This window comes from Homo sapiens, chromosome 8 (assembly GCF_000001405.40).
Source record: "Homo sapiens chromosome 8, GRCh38.p14 Primary Assembly".
Lineage (NCBI taxonomy): Eukaryota > Metazoa > Chordata > Mammalia > Primates > Hominidae > Homo > Homo sapiens.
The window spans coordinates 107,313,364-107,337,816 of NC_000008.11; the positions used below are offsets into that span (position 1 = coordinate 107,313,364).

Sequence of the window (24,453 nt, forward strand, 5' to 3'; positions counted from 1 at the left end):
TGTTGATATCCTTTGGTTGATAATAAATTATGAGTTCCTATAGGAAGCTAAAAATGTTACTAGTTGTTTTTTTTTTTTTTTTTTTTTTTTTTTTGAGACAGAGTCTTGCTCTGTCGCCCAGGCTGGAGTGCAGCGGCGCAATCTCAACTCACTGCAAGCTCCACCTCCCAGGTTTCTGCCATTCTCCTGCCTCAGCCTCCCGAGTAGTTGGGACTACAGGCGCCCACCACCACTCCTGGCTAATTTTTTTTTTGTATTTTTAGTAGAGATGGGATTTCACTGTGTTAGCCAGGATGGTCTCGATCTCCTGACCTCGTGATCCACCTGCCTCGGCCTCCCAAAGTGCTGGGACTACAGGCGTGAGCCACCACGACTGGCCAAAATGTTACTAGTTTTAAAGATTCTTTGCAATTGACTTTTAGAAAATCTTATGCTAAAAATAAATATTTGTTTATACACATTTAAAGCTAAGTGTACAGTTGCAACATTCCCCAGATTTTACCTTCTTTTTCTCCCTTCTTACAGTATAAAAAATTTCATGAGGTCTTCACTCTATAGTTGATATGATGCATACATATTTAATGCTGTTAATAAAACATTTTTTCTTACTGTCTCTCAGAGTAATTATAGGTGTCATTTGGTTCAGTGTAAAGTGCCATATCTTATCCGTGACTAATGTCTACTGTTCTGTTTTGTCCCTGGTTTAGAAAATATCTGTTGAATTTGACTTGAGTGTGGATGAGACCAGGAAATGACTTAATTGAAAGTCTATTCAAACTATCTGTGCTCCTTCGCTTTAGCCAACCAGGCTATGAAAGCATAAGGGAAGAAGGATGGAGTTTGCTCATGGTAATATTGGAACATCAAGGAAACACTCTTTTTGTGGCCTTTTACCCCTGTAACTTCCAAGCCCAGCTGGAACCAGGAGATATCCCTTTTCAGATAGTTCATCTTGTTTCTGAAGTTAAAAACTCCAATTCCAAAAGAGAATTAACCACAAAATTTCAAATCTCCTCCGAAAGATGGGGTTTAGAAATAGTTCATGGGAGAGGTCAAGGACTATGTTATTTTTTATTTTGTTATCATTAATTTGGCTATCCACTATTCACAATTTTTTTTACAGAAATTATGACTATTCTAAAAGGCAGATAACACGCTCCATCAAAAAGGAGAAATATACCATTTCCAAAAATAAACAGTCAATTTTGCCTTAAGCCACTGGGTTTTATGAAAGGAAGTGCTAGATAGTGTGGTTCATTTTAAGGAAATTGTAAATGTTTGACATATAATTTTCTGTCAAGATAAAGCATTTCCCTCATTAAATGGAAACAAGTACTCACTGCAGTGTTCAGCAGATGACTTCCTGTATTTTTCTTTCTCTTTCTACCTAATCTTAAATTGTGCACTACAAGTAGTAAATGAAAAACCAAGTATTTTACCCAGTCAACGAAACTGATATATTCCATTTTTATCAATGTTTATATGACTGACATTCAAAAAGTTTTAATTTCCTCCCATCACTTGTGATGTTTTTAGAGTCATTCTTAACTCAAGGGACTTGCAGTTCAAACTATCTCATCCCTTACAGAATGATATAAACTTCATAAACTCAACAGACACAACATGGGAGGTAAATTCCTTTCAGATGGTAGAATTATTCTGAGAATCAAGCCAAATGACTCCTCAGCACTGAGAAGAAAGCAAATGCCTCATTTCCCCCTTTAAGAAGACTAGAGGACCCATAATAATGATCAAATGTTCCATACCACTGCAATCAGCTTCTGGGAAAGGCACTTTAGCTCAAATAGTGGTCACTTAAACATTTGTAGTATCAGCCATTATGTCTCTGTGATAATGTGAAATGATTCTTAAAAATGAACTTCATGAGAAGCTCCTATGAGTTGAAATTTGAACTTCTTATGAGAGAATTAAGTATATAAACATGTTCTTGTCTCTCAGTACTTATTTTTAAGTTTCCTCTACTCCGTGTGCCTCCCTACTTAAAGTTGTTATCTGTCCTTTCACATTCAAGTTTCTTGAATGCAGGTATATAATGATTTCTGTTAACTTCCTCTCACTCATTTTAGTCTCTGAGATATGCAACTGAGCCATGTAGCATACCAAACCTCTGCATACAGAAGGTTCTTTTTAAAAACTTGACTGTCATGCTTACTTGCCACTGAAAAGAACATCCTTCATAACTGTCCTTTTTTTTTAAACCTTCCCAAAACACTGCTTACTACTGTTTTTCACACTGTCTATATTTTTCTTTCGGTCTCTTTTTTTTAACCTGTCCCTTAAAAACCTTCAAATTTTTCTGTCTTTGATTTTACACTGTCATTTTTTCATACAATGCACTCATAACTTTGGTATGTAAATGCTCTCAAATTGTACACAAATGTGTGCTTATATCCTTGCATTTTGGGGTTGGGGTAAGTGGAAAGGAAAAATAGCCGTTTGCATCTGGTTTCCTGATGGATCTGTGACCCCTACATGAATAAGAGCCATTGCTTTATATGCACTTTCTATGATTTTACCTCTTGTCTCCTCTGAGGACAAATCATTGTTCTCCTTCTAGAATCCGATTTATCTGCCTGCCAGACTCTGTCCCACAGGCAACTCAGTCAAAATATCCCAAACTAAAACTCACTATTTTTTCCCTTCCAATCTATTTCATCTCCCATGTTGCTGGTTTTAAAGAATGTGATCTATGCTCCCTCAGTTGTTTAACCTAGAAATGTGCAATTGGTATTAGATTAGACTTCTAGGAAGTCATTATTTCTTGCTGATTCTAATTTTTCTATTTTTACAAATTTCTTCCACTTACTTTTCCATTTACCCCTGTTTAATATGGACCTTACTATTTCTTTCCTAGAGATCACTTTGAAATTCTGACAAAAATCATCAACTCTACCTTCCCTGTCCAATATGGTGCAGCGTGTAATGTACAGTATTCAGAACAAGACTCTGGGTTCAAATCTCAGCTTGCTCACTTGCTAGTAGTGTGATATTTAAGCATTATTCACCTCTCTGTGCTTAGCTTACCTTTCATATAGAGTTGGTAATAGAACCTATCATACAGTGTTGTTACCAGAATTAAATAAACTAATATATGCAAAGGTCTCAGAAGACTGGCTTGTGTCAAGTATTTGCTGATATTATAATAACGGTAAAAGCACCCATCTGGTCCCCTACTCCAGGCTTCTCAGCTTTACAGTATATTTTTCCTACATTGTCACTGGGGAGATTTTTGTAAAACACAAATATCACCATTATCATCATATATTGACAATGACTGCTCATTGATTTTATAGAAAAAATGTGGCCTTTTTGGTCTCCCTCAGAGATCCTCTCTCTAAATTCATTTTAAGACTTAGGCTACAGCCCGCTCCCATGACTTCTGGAAAATAAACATGCCGTTTGTACTCTCTGGTGTGTCCTTCACTTTCTTCATTTTTTAGACTTAACTATCATCTTCCCACTAGAACAAGCTTGCTTATATTTTAATCCTAGATCAATGATTTCCAGCTTTGTAACTTTGGGCAAATTCTCAAATTCTCTGTAGAGGTTATAAAATTATGCTAGACATGGTAACTCCCTCATGTTGCTGTTGTAAGGGCTAACACGTGGAAAGCCTAAGCAAACTAGAATCATAATAAGGATTCAGTAAAATCCCCAAGAAAACTCTAGAGATGCTGGATTCTGCCCTTATCCTTCTGTTCCTGCCATGATTTTAATATTTCTCTGTGAGCTTTGCTCGGGTCCAGGCACCCTAGGCTCACTTCTAGCAAATAATTCTGAAAAATAATTGTTTACTTTTTTCTCTCCTATCAAACCCTAGGTTCCTTAAAGCCACAGAATGAAATACATCTTTTCTTCTTCCCAGTAGTCTGAGCAATATTTGGCACATTATAGAAACTTACCAAATATTTGTTAAATAAAAATGAATAAATATCATTTCCCCAGAACAGAACAGTTGCTGCAGAACTGTTTTGAATGAATGGATAAATTTATGAACCACATCCTGCTACAGCAGAAATGAGCTTCGAGCTGATTTGAGCAGTGTGAGACAATCAGACTATGTAAGTTTATAATACAGTCTAAATACTTTTTTTAAAAACTTTTTCTTTTCTTTTTTCCTTCCTTCCTTTTTTTACATGCTGTTAGTAATTAAATTCCCAATTATATATTTGCCACGTGTATGCTCAACATGAGATGACATTTTAATCACCAGTGTACATAGATAACCAGTGAATTTATTTTTATTTTTATTTTTTTTTTTTTTGAGACAGAGTCTTACTCTGTTGCCCAGGCTGGAGTGCAGTGGCGTGATCTCAGCTCACTGCAACCTTCGCCTCCTGGGTTCAAGCAATTCTCCTGCCTCAGCCTCCTGAGTAGCTGGGATTACAGGCATGTGCCACCATGCCCAGCTAATTTCTGTATTTTTAGTAGAGATGGGGTTTCACCATATTGGCCAAGCTGGTCTTGAACTTCTGACCTCAAGTGATCCACCCACTTTGGCCTCCCAAAGTTCTGGGATTACAGGCATGAGCCACCGCGCCTGGCCAACTAGTGGTTTTTTAATAGTCACAGTAACTGATTACTCTCCCCTGAAAGATTCCAAACCTTGTTTGTATGCCTTATTAATGTAAATTACTTAATTCCAGCAAATATTTAATTTTGGTAATTTTGAATTGCCAAAAACATGAAGCAATAGGCTGAGCTTTGACATTGTGATAACACTGAGGGCAATATTTCTTTAGTGGATAATGTTTCTAAGAATAAATGTGGCCCAATGTTTGCAGATGAAGGTTAGGCAAAAATAAATGTGTTACTCAGAAGCCTTACAAAGTGGATGCAATTCAGTTTGAATTGACTATTTGCCTAAGACACCATTATTGTCTATTAGGAATAAGAAGAGGAAAGTTTGGTGAATTATTTCAGATAATGTGTTTATTAGTTGTCCTTCTTAAAAGTATCTCACAACATCAGATGTGTTAGTAGAAAAAGTGCTGTGAAACTAAACAAAAGCACTCTCTGAATGCAAAGATAGATTTACAGTTTCTGGATCAAACAAATGTTTGGGAAAAAAAGTACATGTCTAGCCAACACTTCCTAGGAATTCTTTATCATATAACTTTAATGCATTATAGGCATTTTAGAAGGCACTAAAATAAAGATAATTACGATTATTTTAATGTTGACTATGACTTAACACAGAAGCTATGCGTTTTATACTAACCTCTTTTAATATTTCAACATTTAAGAAATTAATTCATTTACTTGTTTATGTATGTATTTATTCTAGGCCCTCTATTTCTTTTTTAAATTTGAATTTTTTAATGACAAATAATAACTGTATATATTTTTGGAGTAAAACGTGATGTTTTGGTACATGTATACACTGCAGAATGATCAAGCTAATTAACATATCCATTACCTCACATACTCGTCATTTCTTTGTGGTCAGAACATTTACAATCCACTTTTTTGGCAATTTTGAACTACATAATTGACAAAAGTTGTATATATTTATGGTGTACTACATACCTACCGGGTAGATATTATGATCCCATTTTAGAGATCAGAAAATGGAGGCCAAAAAAGCTGCCTGGATGACTGTCAACACTCAAACACTCCGGGGCATTGTATTTAAACATTTTCTGCAGAGGAAGTTTTGCTTATAAAGCACATAATGAATGTACTTAACTGAATCTTGTCCATCGAAGGAGAAAGAAGAAACTAAAGTTTAATGAATCAACTGTGTCTTCAGCAATGGGATCTTCGCTTGTATATTGAGCATCTAATGTAATTCTTTCCCTATTGTGGTGAAATAGACAGAATTCTCCTGACTTTATACATGATGAGACAGCTTCCTTAAGGTTAAACTGGTTGCCAATGACAGGGGAAGCTCATTAACATTTTTTTAGTCTGGCCTTGCAGTATTATATTCAGGCTGTCTCCACAGATTAGTGGGTCAGATTGAAACCAGAAGACCTTTTAGGGTCAATTAAAATGTTTGGCTTTTTGGATGACGACACAGCTCGTGTTTTTTAAGATCTTGTAGAATACCTATATTTGAGCTTTAAAATGTACATTTTAGAATATTTGATGCGTTTATTCTGGTATGCTTATTTTGAAATATTTGCATATATATAAATTTATAAGTAAAATATTTACATATAATCCTTCAATAAATAATAAATTTATATGATATATAAATTTTGGTCATAAAACAAAGAAAGGCTTTACCCATGTGTTTTAGAATTTGAATAAAAGTTCATTTTAATAACTGATATTCAATCTAGTATTATGCTATTAGCCATTTAAAATTTTAAATTCACCATAGCCAACGACTAAGGCTCCAGTGAAAATAAAGATATGCAGACAATGAAAATCTTCATAAAAACCTTATGAGAGCCACTTTCCACTTTTGTGTCTCTTATGAGTTCTAAAAGTAACTAAATATTTAGTTAGAACGCTTAACAGTAAGATTAAAGAAAAAAGAGATTAACAAGAAGCAAATAAAATCTATGGTCATGACAGCAGAGAACCTATTGGAAAATTAGGCAATCACCTTAAATTAAGATGGCAAATCCTGTAGTTAAATCAAGATTCATTTCAGAGTTTTGTCATTAAAAAGAAAAGATATCTAGAGGCCTGGAATATTTAGACAAATTCAGTTTCTATGATTATTATTACTATTTTTGGATATACTACATCATAGAACAGACACAGTTACTTTTTTCACTTCCTGAATGGCTATGAAGGGTACCATCTATCATGGCTATCCTCATTTTTCAAAAATGTTTCTTAAATTGAACAGATGTTTGCTTCCCTGATATTGCGCCCAAAGTTGAAACCTAGCCAGAATGTTTACTTCTAAAGTCACATCCTCTTCCTCTAAAAGCTTAAAGACACATTTATTAGGCAAATACTCAGAAAAGAAGTTAAATTATGATAAGTACGCAGACATATGAGCTCTGTGAGAATCACTAGGGCTTGACATCCCTAAAATCATGAAATAAAAACCACTATTCCACTCCATGTGCTTTAAGTCTTAGGATGATAAGAAAAATGTGTTTTCAATCTTTCCCAAAATGTATTCAGCTCAATATGAGAATAGATATAACTTGTATTAATACTTAATCGTTAAATACTCATGAGTTCTATTAAAATTCTCTGGCAAAATACTACCATGCTTTCCTTCCAGTGGACTCTAACTCAAGATTTTGGCAGAGTCTGACTGATTAGCAGGCTTTTCCCTTCCCAACCACATTACTGAGCACACCCAAATGGAGCTCTGGGAACTCACTGTTTAAAAAATATTACTTTACAAAGCATATTAAAGGCTTGTTTAGACTATCTAAAGGAGATATAACTCGAGGTAATGGAGTGTAATAGAGAAATATGAAATGTCTTTAAAACAAAATCACTTAATATGGAGTTATCTTCCCTATTCATAACTATAGATGAAAGCATGAAATTGAACAAATTTGTCACATAGCTCAAATCCACTTTTAAATTAAAGGAGCCTCCCCATGTGTACATTGCATATGCTCACTGAACCACTTCATGAATGGTCACATAAGCCACAGCTTAATAACAACAACTTGCAGATGTAAGTGGTATTCTCTTTCACTCATCACCATTTACAATTCCATCTTCATTCAGAGAAAGGCTGATTAGAGAAATACAGAAGATGACTTCAAGTTCCAAACTTTGAAGAGCTCTACTGAGGCTCACTAGAGGTTCTGCTTGAAGGAAACAGGTGCAAGCAGAGGCATTCATTCAATAATTGTTAGGTGGATGGATGGATAGACAGATGTATGCCTTCTAAAGAAATACAGGGTTGTAGATATTCCCAAAGGTTCAATGACTCCAGACATTCTAGTGATATCAAAAATTTGTATCTCCACTGTCACAAAGATACCCCAGAATTAATGAACTTAAATACCCTGATTAAATCTATCCTGCACAGGACTAAGCACAAGTGATCTTAATAAACATTTTTAATAACAATAATCCTGCCTCACTCATAATACTTGTTTCAAATAGTCTGTCTCCGTTTCTCTGCAACCCACAATTTCCTACCCCATTCCCTTTAAAAGGAAATAATAAATATTCATTTAAAAATGGAAATCCTCCTGAAACTCTCCCAGCACTATGAACTAATTTTTAACATTGGCTCATCTCTGTCCTATATATAGTTAAGTGTCTAACACCATAATACCAATTATTTATTCACGACAGTATCACAGATTTTATCTAAGGTTAAAAGACAAAGAAAGAAGAAATTAGAAAGCTCTTTCAGAAAGACATTGTGGATTCACAAATTTAGGCTTATGAATACATTCTCCAGGTAGAAACATGAGAAAATTATCAACATAACTTCATAAATGATTCTAACCATAAAGTTCTTCTGCTATTTTTTACACAGCAATCAATGCACTGTAGAAAGCTATATTGAGTATTTACTTGATCAAAGGAAATAAAATATTAACAATACCAAAGTGAGGAAGACATTCTTACCACCTTCTTTAGTGCAAAGATTGACAAGGTTGTGGACTGTGTCCATCAGCTCCAGTTGCTGCTTCTGAAGGACACTGTTGTTGGTGGTAGCTCTGTTTAATTGCTTTTCCAGCTCCTGGATTATATATGTTTGACGAGTAACCAAGCCTTGAAGGTTCTCTTTCTCTTCCTTTAAGGTGTCCAACTCTTCCTTGTGTTTTCCTTCCATTTCTAAGATTTTATGTTCTAATAAACTACAAGGAAGTGAAAATAAAACTTAGATTTGAAAAAATGTTATACAAAAAAACCCTTATAATTCAATTGGTTCCTGAATTTATTTAAGATGAGAAATTTTACATTTCACTGTAAAAATATTTTTAAGTGAGAGACTTAAGAATATGTATTCTTCAGAATAGGAGTTACACATATAACATGTCAAATAAAAAATAAGTAAACCAGATATTGTCAGAGTAATGTTTGCTTTTAACTATGATTTAGTTTCTTGGTTTCCTTGGGTGTATCTTATATCCAAGGTAGCTAACTTACACCCAAATAGCTACACTCTAAAGAAGTTATAGTATAACTTTCACTAAAGAAATGGGCCTAAGAGGAAACAGAATAGTTCAGGAAAAAAACAAACAACACGTAGAAACTACTTTTTATTCACTTTGCTTCATTTATTTGGGGTTTTCAAAACGTTAACATTGACTAAATTTCACGATAGTTCTGTGGGATCAAGAATAGTATATTGACCATCTGCAAAATCAGAAATAAAGAGAAAAATATGAAATAATCAGAAACACAAAGGTTTATGTACAATGACATTAAGAAAGAAAAAAATCTCTTATTTTGAAACTGTTGAAAATATTTTTAATCATTTTAAGGATATTAGAAAATGCTCAAAATATGTTAGGTGAAAAAAGAAAAAACAGCAATATACATTCTCAATCACACACACATACAAAAAGAAAACTATATTGACACAGAAACCACAGGAGCCAAAAGTGATCTATCTAAAGTCACAATGAATTCTTGTGATTTTTGATAACTGGTCCTGTATCATAACCACTAGCTTCCTTTATTTCTCAACTCAAGCTTCAGGATGAGGCTTAATGACACTACAAGTTCCCAAGTCACTGTATAAATGGTAACAAAAGGAAGACTCCCTTTGGCTGATGGTATGGTCTTCTGAAAGGAGTTGGGATGCTTTGCTCAGAGTGTTGAAATCTTTAACTGAGGCCCTTCCTTCTCCCTGAGCTCTTTATAGGATATTCCCCTTGTATATTGCACATTAAAAATGATAGAGAAAGCAGAAGCATTTTTGGAGCCTACCAACTGACTGGAAATAAAAAGCATTAACATTTTATGGAGTGTCTAATATACTAGTTTTCCTCCGGGGAAAGGCTTACTCGGTTTTCTCAGTTCTGTTTTCAGAAGGTTCAACCCGTCCTTAGTTTACAAGGTGTTATTAAAATGCCACATACCAGAATGGGCACTTAATTTACCTTGGAGAAATACAGCACTGAATCATTCCTTTCAAAAAGGGGACACTAGGGAGTGTTTTAGATTCAATACTTAAATTATAAAATAGAGCATGTTTGAAGAGCCAAATCTTCCAACACCAGGTACTGGGGGACAAAGTGTAACATCTGATTGTCTTTTACACAGATTAAGAAGTGTGGGTCCAAGGCTTAAATGGCATAAAAGACTGTGAGGGAATCGAGAGAAGTCCATGTGGCAGAAGCTGTGCCATCCTGGTAGATGCCAGAAACCTTGTGGATGGATCAGCATGGTAGATGGTGATGATGATGTCAATCATACTAGTCATGATACCTCTCATTTATGACATGGTTGCTATGTGTCAGGTACTGTTTTTTTGTTTTGCTTTTTGTTGTTGTTGTTTGTTTGTTTTAAGACAGAGTCTTGCTCTGTCGCCCAGGCTGGAGCACAGTGGCGTGATCTTGGCTCAATCTCTACTCACTGCAAGTTCCGCCTCCTGGGTTCACGCCATTCTCCTGCCTCAGCCTCCCGAGTAGTTGGGACTACAGGCGCCTGCCACCATGCCCAGCTAATTTTTTGTATTTTTAGTAGAGATGGGGTTTTGCCGTGTTGGCCAGGATGGTCTCGATCTCCTGACCTTGTGATCTGCCCGCCTCGGCCTCCCAAAGTGCTGGGATTACAGGCATGAGCCACTGTGCCCGGCCAGTGTCAGGTACTGTTTTAAGTGGTTGTTACGAGTTCAATTATGGCCTGCCCATGCTTGCCCCCCAGCCAAAAAAAAAAAATATGTATATATATATATGTGTGTGTGTGTATATATGTATATATATGTATATATATATGTGTGTGTGTGTGTGTGTGTGAAGTCCCAACCTCCAGGAAGTCAAGAATGTGGCCTTATTTAGAAACAGATTCGTTGCAGATGTAATTAGTTAAGATGAGGTCATCCTGGAGGAGGATGAGCTTCTAATCCACTATGATTGGTGTCCTTATAAAAAGGGAAAATGTTGAGAGACAGATCAGATGTGCACACAGGGAAAAGGTTGTGTAAAGATTGGAGCACTGCTGCCTCAAGCCAAGGAACTACTGGCAGGTAGGAGAGAGGCCTGGAACCGAGTCTTCCCTAGGGCCTTCGGAGAGAGCCTAGCCCTGCAGGCACCTTGATCCTTGATCTGGGACTTTCAGCCTCCAGAATATTCAGAGAATACATTTCCATTGTTTAGAAGAAGAGGAAGAGGAAAAAGAAGTGTGGCCAGAACTACTCCTGGGCATTCCAAATCTTTGCCAACAAACTTGTACTCGAAGAATATGGCAGGAAAGCTGCCTGTGAAGTCAAGCCTGAAAAATACCTGAGGCTGCTAAGACTCTACTAATTTATAATACCTTTAGTAGTGTGCACACATTCACATAAGAAAGTTTCTCATTGAGACCCATTAGCAGAAACTGTGTGACTTCTGCAGTAGAAGTCCCATTTCTGTTTTGAATTGCTTTCATTCTACCAATACCAAGAGAGAAAGGAGCCCTGCCCTGCACCGATCATAAAGTAAACCCAATTTAGATAGAGCTTGGGTACAGTAATATAGGGAAACTGTGATGATCACTTATTTTTTAAAAATTCTTTTGGAAATGAAAAACTTAGGCAAGGTAAGCAGTGTAAGATGAAAAACAACATCTGTAAGGGGTAGGTATGATTCATCTTCTTTTACCATGTTATTTTTCTTTGCCAGTAACTTTTTGTTGGAGAAGTTCGTGGTAAAACACAAACAAAAACAAAAAACTTCTTCACTATCTTTATTGGTTAAAAGTTTCATCCCACCTACTGGGGTAGGCGTCAAAGGAGATCTTCTCTGTGCCCATTAATTTTTGGCCTTTAGATCTGAGAATTAACCACGACCAGTGTCTTAGCTTATTCTCTGTTTACTTTTTATTTACTTTTCTTGCTAGTCCTGGGGTAATGATCAGAGGCAAGATGCCCATAATTTAGAGTTGTTAACTTATAAGAAAATTGCCTTTTAAATTCATAGGCGTTATAGTCTACTAGTGAGAAAACTTAGCATTACCTATTAAACTGGCAAGCATGTAGATATCAAAATTTGAACGTTATAGTCATATAATACTGGATAAAAATTCTGAATTACCATTTTGTACTTGAAATAAGATGGGCACTGGCCTTTCAGTTTTCCTAATCAGTAGGTAACATTCTGGTTTGGAAAATATCATGCTATAGTTATAATTTGTATTTATTAGTTGCTAAGTGCCAATAATTCTGTAAAATATAAAATGACACTATTCTTACTCTAGGGTTTATTTTTAGAGAATAAAAACCTCAAATGAAAATGCAGAAGCTAAAAGAAACTTCTGTTTCAGACATAATACTTTTTTTTTAAATTTTTGCATCAGTGTTTTTCTGTTTATTTTTGATGTATTCCTTGTTCAAGCGGACATATGCGCAGAGATAGCTGCTATCTGAGATGTCAGTAAAGAAGGTGGGCTTGTTTGATTTGTTTTGTTTTTCAGGATAACTTGGAAAGAGCTGAGAATGGAAAGTAGATCAAAGAAGTCCTGGTACTAAAGGAAACAATTCTGGACACTGGCTTGTGGAAAAGATCTGCTTTTCTGAGTAAAAGGAATACATAATATGTATAATATATAATATAACGCACATTAGCACGTTAGACAGAACATTAATTTTCATAATTCATCAGACAACCTTTAATGCTCCCTTACTAGCAGGTATCAAAAGATACCCATATAGTTTGTCATCTTAGAATAGACAGTGCATGTAATGTGAAAAAGAGACTGTCCATGGAACTAAGAAGGCTACTCTACAGCACAGACATTCCACAGGATTTGGAAACCCAAGTAATATGCATAACAACTACAAGCAAATTGGAAACATGTTACATTGTTTCTCTAATGGCAAGTCTTACCAGTTAATTATCTCTTCTCATCATTTTCTCATCACATTTCTTCACTTGGAGCGCCCTTAATAACATTTGTACTTCAGTAATTATCTACCAACTTTATTTATTAGGGACATTTTTCATATTAATGACAACTTTTTAGACTTCTTCAGGCAAGACTGATCTCTTCTTGACCCTTCCATTTCTTTTGACTACACTCATCCCCTTTTTTCATCTTCTCTTCATATTTGGCTTCCAAAAGACTGCTCTCTTCTCTTTGATTCCTCCCATTTATTGGCTAGTATCTACTTTGGAAGTCAGCCCTTCCTTGTCATTACTTCCAAAATGGTTTCAATGCAAACCTCACTTGCCAGAAAACTCCATATACCATCTCTACTTATTATCTTATTCTTGTAACACACCATTATAGTTATATAGCAATTTGAAACCTTTATCTCCTTTGATTCTTAAAGCAATATAGTAACATAGAATGAGCAGATGTTACAGACCCTCATGGATAGGTAAGAATCAAATGTTTTCTTCAAAATCATGCAGATATTAAGTGTCAGAACCAGGAATAAAAAGCCATGTCTTCTAAGTTGTTAGACTGGAAATCTACTCAAGACATCCCACTGCTGTGTCAATGAACATCCTATAGTCTCATCTCTTTGACTTAACACACTATAATCTCTTCCTATTCCTTTTATTCATCATGTTATACCAGGAACCAAGGCACTGCCTTCACATATCCTTAATATTTGCTGCTCTCCATTTAGTTGTTCTGGGAGCTTATCCTTCACAATATTTGAACCTGTTTATCTTTCCCACGTATAAAAACAGAATTACTTTGTCAAGTCGATTTTTAACATCTGGACTAGAATTTTCTTAAATACTACCCTGTCTTAATACCTCTTCCATTAAATTTATGTGTTAATTTTAATTATATTGTTAATATACTGCTCATATTTCATTTTGTCCCTGAAGCCTTTCATTGATTCTTTACTATTTTCGTTATCCAGGTCCGTTGGGAGTGGCCACCTCAGCTAGCATGGGGATCTTTATATAGAGAGGTTGATATGAAGGACAACACTGCAGCCCCAGTGTCCTAAAGTTAGATAGTCAAAGTAGTCAGATTTTCCCTGATGACAGTCTCAGCTACATGTTTAGCTTAGGTTTGCATTTTAAACACAAAACCTGGATGGTTACTGAACACCAGTGCACTGTTTCCTAGAGCATATTCAGTATGTTCTTTGAAGCAAAATAAGAGTTTCATTGTTAAGATTTAGGGAGGCCTATATTAAACAAACAGTTTTTATTAAGATGCTTCTTTTAGGATTAGGGTTCCATGGAACAACACTTTATGAAACCATGCACCTAAATCTATACAAATTGAGCTAGAAATCCAAGGAGAGAGTTTCTCACAGGAGTCTTAGGACTTCCTGTTTCCCGTCTTTCTGGAAACACTTTGAGAAGAGACATGCATAGAATTCTGGCACTTAGCTTCTATTTGAGGCAGAGGTGCACTTTAATGAATAAAATAAACAAAATAATCTGTGCCTCGAACTTTAGTAAAAGGTTCTAAATGAGTGTACAGCAAGTCCTATTTGAAGTTTCTGGTAGACTTCTCCATACCCCTGTTTTACACTGCCTTCTCCAACATCTTATTGGAAATATTTCAAATCATTGAACATATCTTGAAGCTTTCACAGAAAAGGATATCCCTTTCAAATTGTTTCCCACAATAGAGTTCTTAACATAGCAGCCAATGAATTCACAGTGGTGACAGTTGCCTAAGCTCTATGAGTATAAATATAGCCCTTCAAACAAGGAGGAAGATGTTGAAAATATAGAAACCTCATTTTTATCTGTCTGAATCTATTTACAGATGTTCCAATATTTTCCACTATTTTCAACATGTATGGTGTCAACATGTGTTGCAAATATGGGTTTGTAAAGAGTAATTTTTCTCCCCATTTAAATACACACAGATTTAGTTCAGGTTAAATTTATACTTTACGTGTCTAATTGGAATGCAATAAATTTCCTCTCAAAGTCTGAAATCATATTTGTTTGGAAATTCAAATTTGGAGTAGAAGCATAGATACTATAAGTAAATATTGGCAAATAAATGTAAAGTTTGGGGTAAAGAAGAATAAGCTAAATGTATTATAAAAACCAGCAACTAAGAAAAAAAAAGATTGATACATTTCATAACACAGAGATGTAATGTTTCTATTAAAAAATAAGTTGGACAATAAATAATAAACTAGAGAAAATTTTGTAACATATATTACAAAGTTTTAATATCCATTAAAGAGCTCATATGAGTTAATTTAAAAAAGGATAAACAATATAGTAGAAAAAATGTTAAACATACGTAAATAGGCTAGTATGTAGTCACAGAAAAAGAAATCTAGTCACAGAAGAAATGCAAATGGTTAATACACACAAAAACATGCACAACTTAACTTCTGAAGAAGCCGAGATTAATTAGATGGCTAGCAAAGTTTTGGGAAATTTGAAAGCCCAGGTACTCTTAGGGAGAAGGTAAAATGTGAAGATAACTTGTGAATATCTATAAAAAATTTAAATTATCACATCACTAATTATAGTTTTGATAAATTATATATCTATTAACATAAATAATACTTATAATAGGTTATAAATTATAGTGCATCTATAAAAATAGATTGCTACTCATTCTTGAAAATGAATGAGGTATATCTGTTTATGGTTATATGTGTAATATATGTATGACAAATTATTATGAAATAAATAGTAGAAAAAACCCCAATGATAAAATAATCTACACATATATGCACATATCATATAAACAAGTACTTGTGCATGTGTGCAATTATATATGAGTGTACATCTGTGTAAACACACACATAAATATGCACACTCTATATATACACATATGTTAGTATGTTTAGAGAAAACATCTGGAAGAGTAAGCACTGAATTTAATCTCTTAATGATGATTCTCTGCTAGCAGGTGGTATGGTGTAGGGGTGTGGAATTAGGGGAAATTTGACTTACAACTGTATATGCATGTATATAATTTAATATACATGTATATACAACAAGTTTGTCTTACTTGTTTTTATTTATCATAGAAATGGAGGAAACAGTCATAGGTCTAGAATGGCCTGTGCAAATGCTATCCAGAAATTTTAAAGGTGGGCTGAATTAGTGAACCTCAGAGTATACAATAGTAACATTGAGTGCCATGCAATGGGCTTTTGACAATGCAGAATAGTGGTGTAAACACGATCTCTATTTTATTCATGTTGAAAACGATAAATGGATTTACAGTATTTAATGTAAACAATATGATTTGTTTTTTCCACTATAAGTATTTTTATTAGTTGTGTGTGTGTGTGAGTCTTTGTGTGTGTGTGAGTCTCTGTGTGTCGTATGGATAAATGGCATTTGTTGGGTTAGAGCTATTGGGACATTTCCCAGTTCCTTATTCATTTAGCATTCAAAATGCATTTAATACTAAATATGCTTATGTGTAGAAAATTGTGCCCGGGAGCAGGAAGACAATGAAAATAAAACACATTCTCTGTGTCCTAGAAGGTCACAGCCTAATAGTATGGATATAGATAAATAAACATGCACACACAGAAACATACATATATTATAATGTGATCAGATAAGTGAAATTATGGGGAGGAAACAGGTACAGGGCTATCACATAGGTCATAATGAGCAAATCTATCTGGTAGAGCCAGAGACGGACTGTTAGAGAAGCTGACACATGCAATGAGTTTCCAAGGATGAACAGAAATTTGTGAGTTGAATAAGGAATGTCAGGCAAACATCAAATATGTCTGAAATAACATCATGTGTTCAGTGTCATACTAACAACTAACATGATTAAACACTGCTGCTCATGTCAGGCACTGTTCTCAGTGATTTACACACATTAACTCAATCTTCATCTTAACTTCATACAGTACAATTATTGTCATTGTTATGTTACAAATTAGGAAACCAAAACACATAGAGTCTATGTAAGTTGCACAAAGTCACACAAATAATATGTGACTTAGTCGATTATCCCAGGAATCAAGGAAAAGTGAAACCAGGCAGTCTGGCCTCAGAGCTCATGCTCTTAACTATTAGCGTGTATCCTCTAAAAAATAAGATTATTGGAAGTAAGTCTGCAAAAGTAAGATTATAGTGATCATGGACTGTATTGTGTGCTAAAGAACTTGAACTCTCTTCTATCAGTTATAGAGAATTGTCATTTGGTTGAGAGGGAATTAATAGAGGAAAATAGTCTGACTTGCATTTTAGAAAGAAGACTTTGGCACAGCTTCTGGATAAGGACTGGAGTGGCACATAGCTTAAACCCAGAGGTCACTGCAGTGGCCTAGACAAGAATTCATGGCAGCTTGACCTAAGACATAGTCAGTGGGAATGGAAAGGATGGGACGGATTAGAAAAATATTTAGAAGATGGAATTGATAGCATCAACAGTGACTGGTGAGTTGTGGGGGATTAGGGAAAGAGAAGAATTAAGATGAGCCTTAGATTTCCAATTTGATCAGAATTGTATTTCATGCCAAGATACTACGGTTATTATAATTTAAAAAAAGGAAAATGCTATATGCTATTAAATATTATTTTAAAAATTAACAGGGAAAAAAGGTAACATTCTAGTATGTAGGTGTTCTATTTACAAGAAAAAGACTAGAATAATATAAATTCAAAAAGTCACCTTTTTTATCCTTGTTATAAACAACTAATATAATTCAGCCTAGTTTAATGTTAGAAGTTAGCAAGTTACTTTAGCATTTTGTAAATAATTTATCAAATGAAAGATAGCTTTAATTTAAAAGACTATGATTTCATTTTTCATTTCTTTAGGCATATTAAGCATTAAATATCAATACTGTATTTTATTGCAATAATTAGTAAGGCATAATTTGGTATCTTGAAGTTGCACATGTTTCAATCACTTAAAATTAATTAACTTAATAACTTCCCATAACTCCAGCTAGAAGATAGATGAGCATGTCAAATAAGTTCAGTGAATTCCCAAGGTAAAATAAATAGTTTATATCTTCTGCTCTAATATTAGAAGGACTAAATAATGACCTATATAGTGACAGGCCAAAAACAACTGGTCTACCCCTTTCTTCAAATGAATATTTGTTTGTTTTAAGAGAATAACTTGACAACTACATCAATTATACTTGAGGCCTCATCACATTGCAAAAATATTTTTATAATAATTAAGGCAGAGAATCACCATGAACTTGAACTCTAATTTTGCCATATCCTTAGCTGTTTGGTCATAAGCAACTTACTTGATTTCTGTGAGCCTCAGGGCTTTTTTTAAGTGTAAAATAGAAATAATAATACATACTTTGCAGGATTGGTTGGAGGATTGGAAATAGTAAGTTAAAGCACCTGGCACAGATGTTTACCTTGTACTAGTAGCTATGCGGCAGCTAGTATTGCTCAAACTATGTAGGAATGGCCATCACATGTCTCGTTTCAGTTCACTCTGAACGGTCTTACTGAAGACTTCCTTAATCTTCACTCTGCATACTCAGCACAATCAAGAAAGCCCGTGTGCTCCGTCTTTGTATACATGGGGTTTTGATTTCCCTTCCTGTATACCCTGGTGAGACAGAAGGGCTCCTTCTGGAATATTCTTTAGCCTGGCTTTGCTTCCGCCTTGCAAAAAGTTGGGGTTAAGTCAGAGATGGGCGGGTGCTGGGAAAACTGGCCAGTTGACCAAACCTTTCGACTAACAGACCCAGTCACATATTTGGTTCAACTGAAGGAAACTGCATTAGGACATCATTTCCTGTACACCTCTATTCCATTGTTTTAGAAAGCAGTAGGAAACATACTGGAGGAAACTAGTGAAAGTTTACATTTTGTGTCCTACTTTGTGTTCATCTCACTCCCTTTGTGGGCAAGGTAAAATATTAATGTTTCCCATTTACTTAGGTTCTTGGTTGTGTAATTCCAATTATATGGTTGAGTTACAGATTCCTTACTCCCAAGTGTTGTTTCTTTGAGGTAAGAAACAAAACCAGGTTTTAAGTTTCGGGTAGCATCCAACAAAAGAAAAACATATTGCCTAAAGAGAGCAAACTGGAAGCTTTTTAGAGTGACTCCCTCTGGACTGTTAGGAAAACAAACAGCAGAGCAAACGTTGCTAATCCTGTTTCTGCTTTGTGCTTCTGGCCATGTAGGGGATAGAGAAGTGAATCTCATGAGGCCAAAAATCCATTTCCAATCCTACAAGTGATGCATTTAATTTGTCAGGATGTAAATCAGCAGGACCTCTCAGCATGTTTGTGTAGTATAATCCTAACCATAAAATATTCCTCCTCATTTTGCCAAAGCAGTGGTGGACCTTCCTAAGGGCCAGCTCACTGACTTGGCGGCTGAAGCCCCATCTTACTCAAACCTGGTAAGTCCCACACCCAGACACAACCCCTGACATTCCTTGGGGAGGAAACAAAGCTTAATTTAGATAATCCCCCCTGCAAAGTGTATTAGCTGATCCAAACCAGACCTGACCAACTAAAGGCATGTTGTTGCTGCATTTCAGAGATGCCTTAATGTAGAAATAGCTTCTTGTTGCATTTGGAGGATTAAGATTCATATAAGGAATAACCAGTGGTAATCGATAAACTATTTTTTTAAAACATAAACAGCTTCATGCTTGACTTTGAACCTCTCTCCACTTAAATAGGAGGAGCACATTTCTTTGTTGCAATATAAATTGCCTGGCAGAGCTCCCCTAATTCCATTGCACATATGAAAATAAACAATAACAATAAACAGAATAGGGAAAGTATGCTATGTATCACAAATGGGTATTTTTTATTTGTATAAAGAAAAACACTTCTCTTTTTTTTAAGTTGTTTATGGAAGACTATGTCTAATTTAAGAACAGATGTTCTGCCAATACTCCATCACACACATTAGGCCCTTAGACAAGAAGATAGACAGATAACTATAGAGATACAGCAATACCAGGAGGCATAGAAATTGATAGAAAAATACCCCAGAACCACATGTGAGATAATGCCATACTTGAGGGGTCCACTGTCGAAAAAGAAAGAGATGTGGAATGGAAGTGTAAGATGCATGCAGGTTTTTGTCTGTGTGAGCACAGAAATGAATTTCCAATTAAAACCCAAATCTCTGAATTTGTAGTGAAATACCTATATTACTAGAAAAGGAAATTGCTATAATCCTGAAAAAATTAACATTAGCAATAAATGATGTGATTTACACGTGTAAGAAAACCTGAGTTTTCTGTTGAAATTAGAATTTAATGAGAGGGGAAAGTTCATCAGCAGAAGGCACAAATATGTTTGGGATCAGAAGTCAGATTCCTTTGAGATACTGAAGTGCATGGAAGCCCCTTCTACCTGACCCAGAGTGGAGCTCTTTTGAGAGCTTGCACCCTAACTCACTTTTACTGATAGAGCAGAGAGAACAACTTTAAAGCAGTTTGCCTTTAAAATATAATATTTCATAGTGAGAATTCTATAGTAGGAAATGATACCAGATGCTGCATAAAAATCATGATGGGAAGACAAGAAAATCTGAAATGATCCAGAATTAAGGTAGAAAGGATACATTTTTAAGAAATAAAGAGAAAGAAAGAAAGAAAGAAAGAAAAAGAAAGAAAGAAAAGAAAGAAAGAAAGGAGGGAGGGAGGGAGGGAGGGAGGGAAGGAAGGAAGGAAGGAAGGAAGGAAGGAAGGAAGGAAGGATGGATAAATATGAGAAGGAGGGAAGAAAAGAGAAAGAGACAGAGTACCTGAGTACAAGTGGTGCATAAGGATGGCATTTGTTTTGCAGTTAGGGAGGAGACTTTTCAGGCCTCCCAGTTTATGTTATGGTATCATGACAGCTCAAGGGTCAGATACAGACAAAGATATAATATGCAGATCAGTAGGGAAAAACTAAAGAATGTAAATTCATGCTGGCAACTCTTTCAGAAATAAATCAGGTGGTAACATAACTACTGAGAGATGGATTCAAACCACCTTAGGTTATACCAGTAAAATGAAATATGCAGTTATTAAGAATATTAGAGAATATTTTATTAATGTAAAATGACATCTATCTCCAAAGAAGTCAGACTTCCAGACTGTGTGTAAGGTATGACAGAACTTTTTGTGAAAATGATATTTATATATAAAATGCAGCAAAATATGCAGCTCTTTCTGTATGATAAAGCTGTGGTTTTTAATTTTCCTGTGTGTTTTTTTTTGTCCTTATGCTATAATAAACGTGCTATTGTATAATTATAAAACCAAACGACGACTCAGAAAAATAAGGGAAAATTGTCATCGTTTTACTTATCCATGATTCCTGGGCAAAGCCTTCACAAATAGCATCTTGAAATATGACTGTAAATGTGGTTCACTTTTGGTGACAAAATTAAACCATAAAGGGGTGACCCTAGATTAAGGGGTGGTTGAAGCATACCTATTACATACATGTATAGGTCTGGTTACTGTGAAATTGCAGGAGAATAAATGGTATATTTCAACAGGATTGTTAGTTCTAGAACATTTAATCATGCAATAAGGGTCAAGTCCTGTCAAGTTTATTTGTAGTTATACAGCTAACCCCATGTCACAGTACAAGGATAAATAAATGTAACACTTAGAAATACAAGTCATACAGCATGAGTGACCCCTTTCAGATTCTAAACCAACAGCCAGGTTTGTATTTTTCATGCAGAAGTTTAATTGTAATTGTTGCATTATGCTCTACTTTTAGCATGAAGTTGGGAAATTCTTTTAGTTTGTAGATAATATGAAGAGGCCATGTGTTATAGTGGAAAGATCCTGACACCTAAATTACATTCCAATTTCGGCCACTAGCAAGTTGTGTGACCTTGGACAGGTCACTGCCTTCCACTGAGTCTCTGTTCCCTCACTTGTAAAGAACAGAACTAGCAGTCCTCTTAGGTGCCTTCCTGGTGTGGAATATAAAGGGAACTCTAGTGCCACCAATTCAATGGCATTTAACCAGTTTCTATCAATACCATGGTCTTCACCTCAATATTATGCATAGGAACTGAACCTTCTTCAAGTTATCTAGATACCCCGAAGAAAAATCAATGTAATGCAAGAAACTTGTCCTAAGGAAGTCAGTGTTTTGAATTGTTCATCATCAATGTTAATGACTTCAAAATAATACACTCTTTCATTGTCCCAGCATTCAAGATGTCTAAGTTCCAATTCAATCAACTGAAATGATTCATAATTTATAAAACAAGATGGTGTGATGACATCTATAAAGCTAACCAAAGAAATTTACTATGTCCAAAGTAAATGGCTGTAAATGACAACTAAAAAACCAAACCCTTGATCAGCTTTATAGGTAAATTATTTTCTAGAAAAAATATACATTTTCCTTCTCTCTAGTGCTATATTTCTGAATTCAAAAACGCTGTAGCTTTGTAAAAGCCTAAGAATTGGGGTTTGAGTAGGAATTTAAGAGGCTCTATTCTCTGTTGTTATAGGTTTTCATTCTGCTGAAAAATGTCAATATTTTATGTCACTTTATTTAGTCATAGAATCAAATTTTTGTAGATATGGTGAGATTTGAACTACTACCATTAGAGAAATTAATGCTAAAAGTTATATAAAGCAAATATTTCAAGAGTATCAGCAACAATATTAATTTATTCCTGACATACTAGCTGAATTTACCTTAAGCTCTCCTTTATTTTTATATTAATATTAATTTGGCTCTATATTTCATTTTTGTAAACCACCTCAACCTTATTTGTTTAAGAGTTGGCAGAGAGGTGAAGGATATAAATAAGTACACACAGAAACATTTTTGGAATAAAGCAATCCTCACCTGTTTTTTTCATGGATCTTCAAGATTTCATTTGTCTGTTGAAGAAGTTGCTTCTCTAGCTTGTAGGTGGATAATGAATTCTCCAGCAGCTGTATCTCAAGTCGAGAAGTTTGATTTAGTACCTTAAGATAAAAGATGAAAATATTTCAAACTTCAGTCACGAATCAAAGAACTTTTTTAAGTTTTATTTTGTCGTTAAATATTTTTTCAAGAATAATTTAACAAATGGTTTACCGCCGGGCGCAGTGGCTCACGCCTGTAATCCCAGCACTTTGGGAGGCCAAGGCGGGTGGATCACGAGGTCAAGAGATCGAGACCATCCTGGCAAACATGGTGAAACCCCGTCTCTACTAAAAATACAAAAACTTAGCCGGGCGTGGTAGCGGGCGCCTGTAGTCCCAGCTACTCGGGAGGCTGACGCAGGAGAATGGCGTGAACCCGGGAGGCGGAGCTTGCAGTGAGCCGGGATCGCGCCACTGCACTCCAGCCTGGGCGACAGAGTAAGACTCTGTCTCAAAAAAAAAAAAAAAAAAAAAAAAGGTTTACATTCTACTTATATTCTACCAACTAATGTTTTACATGCCTTTCAGATATTATTTTGGTTTGAGATTGAAATTGCAATTGAACAAACATATTGTGTTTTAGGACTTCTGTGTCCTAAAACCCTAGGATATTCTCCTGTGCTAGTTGCTTCATATATTTTATCTCCAATATCTGTAAGTGCACGTTAGTATTAAGTACAAGGTCTTAGATATTGTGAATAATTAAGAATAACTAATAGGCATGTAAAAGATACCTGCCTTGGTGGATCACCTGGCAAAAAACAATTAGAAATGTGCAAAATTCTCTTGACATAGTTTAGAAAGACTCATTATCACACATTTATAGAACGCCTATCACACTAGGTAATGCTAGCCTTTCCGGATATCATGACCACCTATCAAAGGAGAAATTGTTATCATCACTTTACAAATGAGAAAACTGAGCTTCAGACAGAAGCCCAAGTTCACACAGGAACCAAGGGAAGAGTGGGGTTTCAAACTCAGGTAGTTTTATTCTGATTCTGCTGCTTTGCAAAGAAAATTAAGGAGACGGTGAGTCAAACCAATCTGAGGAAATGAAATGACCCAGAACCCAGATTGTATGAGAGACAGATTGTTCTCATCCTTTCAACACCACTATTACTACTCTGGTGGTCCTCTAGAAACTGTGAAGGCTCAATTCATCTTGAATCACAATGACCCATGTGTCCAGCTGGGCCTTATTATGACATGAGTCTGTGAGCTGTGCACCTAAACCTATCATTCTCCAGGCAAAGAATGCACACTCCAGTCCTAGCAGATGCCTTCAAATTGTGTCAATGCCCTGTTCCTGACTCTTTCTTGTCCTTCCCTCTCTTTACTCCTTAAGGGAGGTATAAAACAAAGAAAGAAGATAAATTAATTTTAAAAGCTCCTCACATTATTTGAAACATTTTTTAACTACCACATCTTTCCTAAAACTGCTTATTTAAAAGGACCTGGAAATACTTCTGCCAGGTCAATATCAATGTAAAGTTCCTCTACAAATGATGCCATTAGAGCCGTCCTCCTTTTCTGCAGCGTCTCTAAATCTAGGATTACATCAGATGCACACAGAAAGTCTACTCAACATATACCAACAGGGCC

The 24,453-nt window shown here is 35.4% G+C and overlaps 1 protein-coding gene across 4 annotated transcripts in view; it reads right to left on the reverse strand.

Moving 5' to 3' along the window:
- The window catches only part of ANGPT1 (angiopoietin 1), a 248,437-nt gene that overhangs the window by 63,882 nt on the left and 160,102 nt on the right, over positions 1 to 24,453 (reverse strand). For 2 of the 4 annotated variants that reach the window (NM_001146.5, XM_047421699.1), the window contains exons 3-4: positions 22,787 to 22,908; positions 8,533 to 8,765 (exon numbers count right to left, since the gene is read on the reverse strand). In NM_001146.5, coding sequence (NP_001137.2) covers positions 8,533 to 8,765; positions 22,787 to 22,908 — 355 coding nt within the window. Of the gene's footprint in view, positions 1 to 8,532; positions 8,766 to 22,786; positions 22,909 to 23,020; positions 23,160 to 24,453 lie in introns of those variants that run through there. The other 2 variants (NM_001314051.2, NM_001199859.3) reach the window with 2 other exon arrangements.